The sequence below is a fragment of the Homo sapiens genome, chromosome 4 (assembly GCF_000001405.40).
Source record: "Homo sapiens chromosome 4, GRCh38.p14 Primary Assembly".
NCBI lineage: Eukaryota > Metazoa > Chordata > Mammalia > Primates > Hominidae > Homo > Homo sapiens.
In genome coordinates, this window is record NC_000004.12 from 183725860 (window position 1) to 183734475 (window position 8616).

General features: G+C 48.6%; 1 long non-coding RNA gene across 1 annotated transcript; it reads left to right on the forward strand.

Annotated features, from left to right (window-relative positions):
- The first annotated feature begins 4 nt into the window (after positions 1 to 4).
- Positions 5 to 8178, forward strand: LOC105377581 (uncharacterized). The gene is made up of 3 exons (XR_939545.4): positions 5 to 340; positions 4244 to 4432; positions 6601 to 8178. It is a non-coding gene; the product is annotated as an uncharacterized LOC105377581 (long non-coding RNA).
- The last annotated feature ends 438 nt before the right edge of the window (positions 8179 to 8616 follow it).

The following is an 8616-nucleotide window of genomic DNA, read 5'->3' on the forward strand; positions in this document are numbered from 1 at the left end:
CTGTGGCAACCCACTTGGGTTCCCTGCGATGTTGTGGAAGGGTTGTTGTTTTGCTGTTTCCAGTAAATGTTGGTGTTGCTCAGTTTTTGGGTCCACACTGTGTTTATGAGCTGTAACACGCACTGCAAAGGTCTGCAGCTTCACTCCTGAGGTCAGCGAGACCATGAACTCACCAACCTGCTGGGAGGGATGAACAACTCCGGACGCGCCACGTTTATGAACTGTAACACCACGAAGGTCTGCAGCTTCGCTCCTGAGGCCAGCACGACCATGAACCCATTAGAAGGAATGAACAACTCCAGACGCGCTGCCCTTAGGAGCCGTAACACTCACTGTGAAGGTAAGCAGTTTCACTCCTTAAGTCAGGGAGACCACGAACCCACCAGAAGGAAGAAACTCCAGACACACCGAAGGGGTGGCCTGTCCCTCCACACCTGTGGATATTTCTAGTTGGGTGGGACGAGAGAGTGAGAAAAGAAATGACACAAAGTATAGAGGAAACAACAGTGGGCCCAGAGCACCAGCACCAGCACTGGTCTCTGAGTTCCCTCAGTTTCTATTGATTACTATCTTCATTATTTCAGTAAAAAGGAATGTAGTAGGAGGGCAGGGTGATAATGAGAAGGTCAGCAACAAACGTGAGCAATAGAATCTGTGTCATAATTAAGTTCGAGGGAAGGTACTATGACTGGACGTGCACGTAAGCCAGATTTATGTTTCTCTCCACCCAAACATCTCAGTGGAGTAAAGAATAACAAGGCAGCACTGCTGCAAGCATGTCTCGCCTCCCACCATAGGGCGGTTTTTCTCTGATCTCAGAATTGAACAAATGTACTATCGGGTTTTATACCGAGACATTCAGTTCCCAGGGGCAGGCAGGAGACCTGGGCAGTTCCAGAGGCAGGCAGGATAGTGGCCGCCTTCTATCTCAACTGCAAGAGGCTTTCCTTTTACTAATCCACCTCAGCACAGACCCTTTTCAGGTGTCGGGCTGGGGGACGGTCAGGTCTTTCTCATCCCATGAGGCCATATTTCAGACTATCACAAGGGGAGAAACCTTGGACAATACCCTGCTTTCAAGGGCAGAGGTCCCTGCGGCTTTCCTCAGTGCATTGTGCCCCTGGTTTATTGAGACTAGAGAATGGCGATGACTTTTACCAAGTATACTGCTTGTAAACATTTTGTTAACAAGGGATGTCCTGCACAGCCCTAGATCCCTTAAACCTTGATTTCATACAACACATGTTTTTGTGAGCTCCAGGTTGGGTCAAAGTGGCTGGGGCAAAGTGGTTGGGGCAAAGCTACAAATTAACATCTCAGCAAAGCAATTGTTTAAAGTACAGGTCTTTTTCAAAATGGAGTCTCTTATGTCTTTCCTTTCTATATAGACACAGTAACAGTCTGATCTTTCCTTTCCCTACAACACACCATCTTTAAGAACTATAACACTCACCACAAGGGCCCATGGCTTCATTCTTGAAGTCAGCGAGACCAAGAACCCACCAATTCTGGACACACTGGGATTACGGGCATGAGTCACTGCACCCAGCTCATCTTGCACCTTTTTAAAGGCTGCATTCTGTCTCTCAACTAGCTCTTTGTCCTGTATCTCTTTTCTCTCTAGTGCCCAAAGCAGGGCTCAGATGGGGTTGGACGCAGCCATCAATGGCCAGGGGATGACTTAGTTGCTCGAAAGTGCAATCTGGGCTGTCTTGTTACTAAAAACAGTTCTGTGAAATGCTACAGTCAACAGCCACTTGCTGGTTTAACTCAGTGATTGAACTGGATACAGTGACTAGAGAGAATCCAAATAGTATGGAGGCCCAAGGTCAGCTGCCTTGTTGAGTCAGTCAGCAGAGAGAAAGCTCTCCACCAGAGTACGCAGAAGTGTAGCGGGCTATCTTCAGGGAACTATGTCCTGGATAGCTACAGGATACGGTTTTAGGTGTTCTGTCAATGATCATATTATTTAGTGCAGTTAAATAAGGATTTATTCACTGATCAAGCAGAATTTTTAAAAATATATACTTCCCGAATGCTAAAAATGGAATTAAAAGCAGCCAATTCTTGTAGAATTGCTGACTTCCCTTTCTCTATTTGTGAGAGAGATATGGAGTGATCCCGACCTTAACAGAATTTTTTTTTCTTTGAGATGGAGTCTCACTCCATCACCCAGGCTGGAAGGCAGTGGCGCGATCTCGGCTCACTGCAACCTCTGCCTCCTGGGTTCAAGCGATTCTCCCACCTCGACCTCCCCAGTAGCTAGGATTACAGGTGCCCACCGCCACACCTAGTTGTTTTGTATTTTCAGTAGAGAATGGGGTCTCGCCATGTTGGCCAGGCTGGTCTCAAACTTCTGACCTCAAGTGATCTGGTTGCATCAGCCTCCCAAAGTGCTGGGATTATAGGCGTGAGCCATTGTGCCTGGCTAATTTTTTTGTATCTTTAGTAGAGACGTTTTCACCATGTTGGCCAGGCTGGTCTGGAATTCTTGACCTCAAGTGATCCACCTGCCTCGGCCTCTCAAAAGTGCTGGGATTACGGGCATGAGCCACCGCGCCCGGCCTAGACCCCGGACCTTAACAGCAGCTGTTAAGGACACAGCCCCCGTTTGGCCAACGCTAAGCATTTTGCCAAATAGTAGCTTGTTCTGCCTTCTGTGCAACTCTCCGCTGGATTCTGTTCAGTCGAAGGGGATGGCAGGAGTGAACGCCTCCGAACTGTGTGTGTAAGGAGAGGGAGGGGCTGGCAGACATCTTGTGATTGACAGCAACCCAGTGTCAGTCCATCCGTCATTCATTGGTCTCTGACCCCAGCACAAATCCCACCGAGGCTGTTGGAACCTCGGTAGAGGAAGTTGGGGTCTCGCACCAGAAACAAACGTTCCTTACTTACAGAGGGGCAGCTTTCCCTGGAAGTTGACCGGGTCCGGCATCTGCTCACATACGCCTTTCCACTGCCTGGGAAGACAGAGTGGCAAACTGGCTGGGCATTTGTAACCATGTCATCTGGAATCCTGTTTGCATGTGGATGGAGACTTTTCTTACTGTACTCTGAACTGTTCATTCATTCTTTGACTTAACAGATATTTGTTTGTTTTTGAGGCAGAGTCTGGCTCTGTTGCCAGGCTGGACTGCAGTGGCACAATCTCTGCTCACTGTAACCTCTGCCTCCCAAATTCAAGTAATTCTCCTGCCTCAGCCTCCTGATTAGCTGGGGCTGCAGGTGCACGCTGCCACACCTGGTTTTTTTTTTGTTTTTGTTTTTGTTTTTGTTTGTATTTTAGTAGTGACAGGGTTTCTTGAACTCCTAAGCTCAGGCAATCCGCCCGCCGCGGCCTCCCAAAGTGCTTGGATTACAGGTGTGAGCCACTGCCCCAGCCACTTAACAGATGTTTATTGAACACTAAAAATGTGTCAGGTGCTCTCTTAAGCCAGTTCAAGTACATTGGTGAACAAAATACACCAAGACTCCCCTCCTCATGGGTATTTTAGGATGGATAATAAACCACAAATATAATAGATAAACATTAGAAAGTATTTTAGAAGGTGATACATGCTATGAAAAAAGAAATAACAGCAGGGTGCCAAGCATGGTAGTTCACACCTGTAATCCTAGCACTTTGGAAGGCTGAGGTGGGTAGACTGATAGAGCCTAGGCGTTGAAGACCAGCCTGGGCAACATAGCAAGACACCATTTGTACAAAAAAATGCAAAAATTAGAGGTGGGTGTGGTGGCACATGCCTGTACTCCCAGCTACTCGGGAGACTCAGATGGGAGGATCACTGCTGCCTGGGTGGATGAGGCTGTAACAAGCCATGATTGCGCCACTGGATTCCAGCCCGTGTGACAGAGTGAGACCCTGTTTTTCCCCACCCAACCCCCGGCAAAAAAGAAGGAGAGCAGGGTGAGTGGGGGTTACATTGTTAAATAGGAGGTCAGAGCAGGACTCGCCAAAAAAGTAGCGTTTAAGCAAAAACTTGAAGAGGACATTAGCTTTGAGGTGGTTGGAGAAAGCAGGCTTTAGGCACAGAGAAGAGTTAGTTTCAATGTCCCGAAGGAGGGGCATGCCCAACGGGAATTTCCAGAGCAGTGTGGGGAGCAGAGTGAGCAAGGCGATGAGATCACAGAGGTGTCGGATCTTGCCAGACCTTCCAGGCCATTCATTGCACAGACTTGGCTTTTTCTCTGAATAGGGAACCACTGGGAGGTTAGAGCAAAGGAGTGACGAGCTCTGACTTAGCTTTCACAGGATCACTCTGGCTGCTGTGTTGATCCTGGACTGTCAGGGTACAAAGGTAGAGGAGACATTGCGGTGATCCCAGGGCCCTGGAGAGAGGAGTGGCAGTGGAACTGATGAGAGGTGCTCAGATGCTGGAGAGAACTAGAGTGACTTGCCCAAGGTCACACAGCTAGTCAGCAGGAGAGCCAGGTAAGAGCCCAATTCTCCCAAATTACAATGTCATGCTTAATCCACTACCCTTCTCTTCAGTCTTTCGGCACCTCGTGGCCATGCTGAGATGCAGGTTTCACATGTGATTTTTGGTTGTCTTGGAGGCATCAATGCATTTGAGTATATGTCTAGGTATCTCATTCCAGCACCATTCTTTTGAAAATGTTTTGGGGCTAGAAGGTAGTATATCAGACATCCACTCTTTGCTACACACACTGATACCTGGATATGATTTCTAGATATTTTTGCAAAAATTCTTGTATACACCCTTTTTCTCTGTCGAAGGCACATCTAGTGATACCAATATGACACTGAAGGCACCCGAGGTGGATTCCTGGCAAGCTTCTACTGTGCATAAGATGAAGATCTGCTCTTGTCTGATGGCTACTCCAGGAAGAAGCAGATGAGCTACGGCTGGAATTATAGCCATGATGCTTTTCTCTAATCTAGAAGGTTCCTGAGGATGTCAGTGACTGATCTGTGGCTTGGCATGTTCACTGAGTCGGTTCTGTCCACATTTCCAGTCTAATGTAGCCAGGAGGGGTTCTCATAGCAGACACTCTGAGGTGTCTCAGCCTTTAGATTGCAGGAGACAGATCTGGACTTAGGCCGCTGGCTTAGGGGATGCCGCCAAGTGACCTAAAGAGTTTCAGAGTCTTAACTAAACCGGAGGGGATAGCTTCAGTCTTGCCACAACTTCCTAAATGGGCCTTCCAGCAGAACCATTAGACTGCAAGTGCCAAACAGACATGTTGTATTCACCGCCTTGTCTCCAGCTCCCCCAGAACCATCCATGGTGCATTAGAAAAAAAGAATATTTGTTGCACATATAGGTAAATTTGGGCCTACTCTTTAGAAATGATTTATTCCTCAGTTTCGGATTCCTCTTTTTTTTCTTTCCTATTTCTTGTCCTTTCTCATTACTTTTTATTTATTTATCAATTTATTTATTTCAGGGTCTTGCTATGTTCCCCAGGCTGGTCTCAAACTCCTGGCCTCAGGCAGTTGCCTCGCTTCAGCCTCCCAAGGTGCTGGGATTACAGGCATGAGCCACTGCACCTAGCCTGCCTTCTTCATTTTCCAAATTTACATTTACATTTGAGAACTCCTCCCTCACCCCACCCCATGTCCGTTTGTCATTTGCTCAGAATCAAACCACAGAGGCCCAGACCGGGCACGGTAGCTCACGCCTGTAATCCCAGCACTTTGGGAGGCCAAGAGGGGTGGACCACCTGAGGTCAGGAATTCAAGACCAGCCTGACCAGCATAGTGAAACCCCATGCCTTCTAAAAATACAAAAATTAGCCAGGCGTCATGGCACATGCCTGTAATCCCAGGTACTGGGGAGGCTGAGGCAGAATTGCTTGAACCCGGGGGGGGCGGATGTTGCAGTGAGCTGAGATCATGCCGCTGCACTCTAGCCTGGGCGACAGAATGAGACCCTGTTTCAATAAATAAATAAATAATGGGCCCATATGAATGCCCGTAAAAGCACTGGCCGTAATCATATCTAATGCCCTAATACCTGGAAGCTTCCAAGTCCCACGACAGCAAAGTCCTGGTGCTTTTGAAAGCAGAAATTGGCTCATGCCTTTAATCCCAGCACTTTGGGAGGCCGAGGTGGGCAGATGATGAGGTCAAGAGATCGAGACCATCCTGGCCAACATGGTGAAACTCCGTCTCTACTAAAAATACAAAAATTAGCTGGGCGTGGTGGTGCACGCCTGTAGTCGCAGCTACTCGGGAGGCTGAGGCAGGAGAATCACTTGAACCTGGGAGGCAGAGGTTGCAGTGAGCTGAGATCACACCACTGCACTCCAGCCTGGGCAACAGAGCGAGACTCCGTCTCAACAACAAAAAAAAAGAAAAGAGAAAAGAAAAGAGAAAGCGGAAACCGAAGCACAGTGATTCTGAGTGCACCCTTTATTCTCATGGCTAGTTCCAGGTAAGTTGGAGATGTACCGTGGCCTACATAACGTGCCTAAGGATACGGACAATTTCTGTCAAAGTGTAACAATGAGAGTTCTATCAGACACTGCAGGCTGATGGCCCATGTCGTTCATTCACCGTGGGTGCTCTAGCCCTAAGTCACTTTGCAGAAGTTTTTTTGTTTTTTCTCAAGCCACATTTCTTTGTCCTCCCACCAGGGAAAACCCCAGCTGACATCTTTTCTTCTGGAGACAGTACAAGATGACGTCTTTGGAGGGCTCTTCAAATAAAGTATGATGCAAATAAAAAGATTTTGCCTTTTGGAAACTTCTTCCGAAACCCCTTATGGTATTTCATCAATCACAAAAATGGGAATTGAGTCACCTGCCCGAGCCCTGTAACCAGGACAGTTGTAGCACACGCTGAACGATGGCCCTGACAGATGTGACTGAGTCTCCCTCGCCTTCTGTTTTGTTTGTGTGTCCAGAACTCCTATTTGTGAGAAAATTGTATTCCCTGCGCTTGAGTCCTGGTCTTCTGAGCTGACATAAGGAACTGTAAGCAGTGGGGGCTGCCATGCAGCAGGGCTCCATCTGCCCCAAGTCTCTGTGACTGCTGCTCGCTGCACAGAGGCCCTGGGTGATCAGAGGCTGCACCGGTGAACCTGTGCAGCCCCGCGCATCCCGACAGGCCACACGTAATTTCTGCCTCTCAGTGAAATCTACCTGCAAGATTTGCTCTTATTTTCTCTGCAGCAAACAACAGGATGAACTTTATTTTCTCATTGAAAACAAGGTGCCGGGAAGTGATTGCGCACCCGTCGGAGATGCACAGAGCCTTGGGCTTCAGACTCTCCCCTGAAGCCCCGAAAAGCCACCCTCATTGACCACATGTACTGAGTGCCCATCCGAGCAGGACTGCAGGAGCGGCTGGACTGTCCATGACCCCTAACAACCCACATGTCCAGAGATGGCGTTTCTGTCTTCTTGGGAGGGAGGCCTGTTGAGCTGCATCTGCACCTCATGATGCCCGGAGTGGCACGTGGAGCTGCACCTGCACACTTGGCTTCTGGTTGCCGGGGTGCCCAGGGAGTTCACCATCGGATAGCAGCCCGCTGCCTGCCTCTCTCTGCCCTCCTGTGGGACACTCCTCGGCTCCCATGACCTCTCGGAGCCCACATTTGCCCTCCTGCTCACCTCACCAGGCCCTGGAAGTTGCAGGCTGCAGGTGGGCAAGGGAGGCTGCCACCACTGCTTGGGATCCGGTCTCCTGGTGGCTGCCTGCAGAGACCGCCCAGATAAGGGGACGAGGAGTTGGTGTCCTGTGAGACAAACTTCAGTCAATGGCAGACAAGAGTCAGTGGATGAAGTCTGCCTTCCTTCGTGGACTGTTTTATGATACTGTTTATAGTTTAGTCAGCCTCTCCGGAGACATCCTGTAAGGCAGAAAAATCACGGTTTTGTGAGGAGCTCAGCAATGCACTTGTGTTTGCTCTCCCTCCTTCCCTCCTTGCTCCTTCCTTCCTTCCCTGCTTCCTCCTTCCCCTTTCTTCCTTTTCTGCTTCCTCTTTTCCCCCTTCCCCCTTTTTTCTTTCCTCTTTTCTCCTTCCTCCTTCCCTCCTTCCTTCACTGATACTTTTTGGGATTACTCTCCCTAGTAAAGCATAAGCACAAATGCCTTGTCCTTGGTTCTGGTTTCCAGAGAACCTGGGCTAAGATAAGTTTATTCCAGAATATCTTGATCTTGAATGTCCTTCTCTGTCTCCTTCCTTCCTTCTTTCCTCCCTCCCTCCCTCCTTATTTCCTCCTCCTTCTTTTTTCTTTTTTCCTTTCCTTTCTTTTCCGTTTTTTTTCTTTTCCTTTCTTTCTCTTTTCTTTTGACGGAGTCTCACTCTGTCGCCCAGGCTGGAGTACATGACACAATCTTGGCTCTCTGCAACCACCACCTCCCATGTTCAAGCGATTCTCCTGCCTCAGCCTCCCGAGTAGGTGGGATTATAGGCACACAGCACCACGCCCAGATAATTTTTGTATTTTTTGAAGAGATGGGGTTTCACCGTGTTGGCCAGGCTGGTCTTGAATTCCTAAACTCAAGTGATTCGCCCGCCAAGGCCTCCCAAAGTGCTGGGATTACAGGCGTGAGCCACCACTCCGGGCCCTGAATTCTTTTTGCAATTTAAAACAGTGTTTGCAAAATTTTTGACCTAGGCCATTCATCTTCTTATTTTTACTATG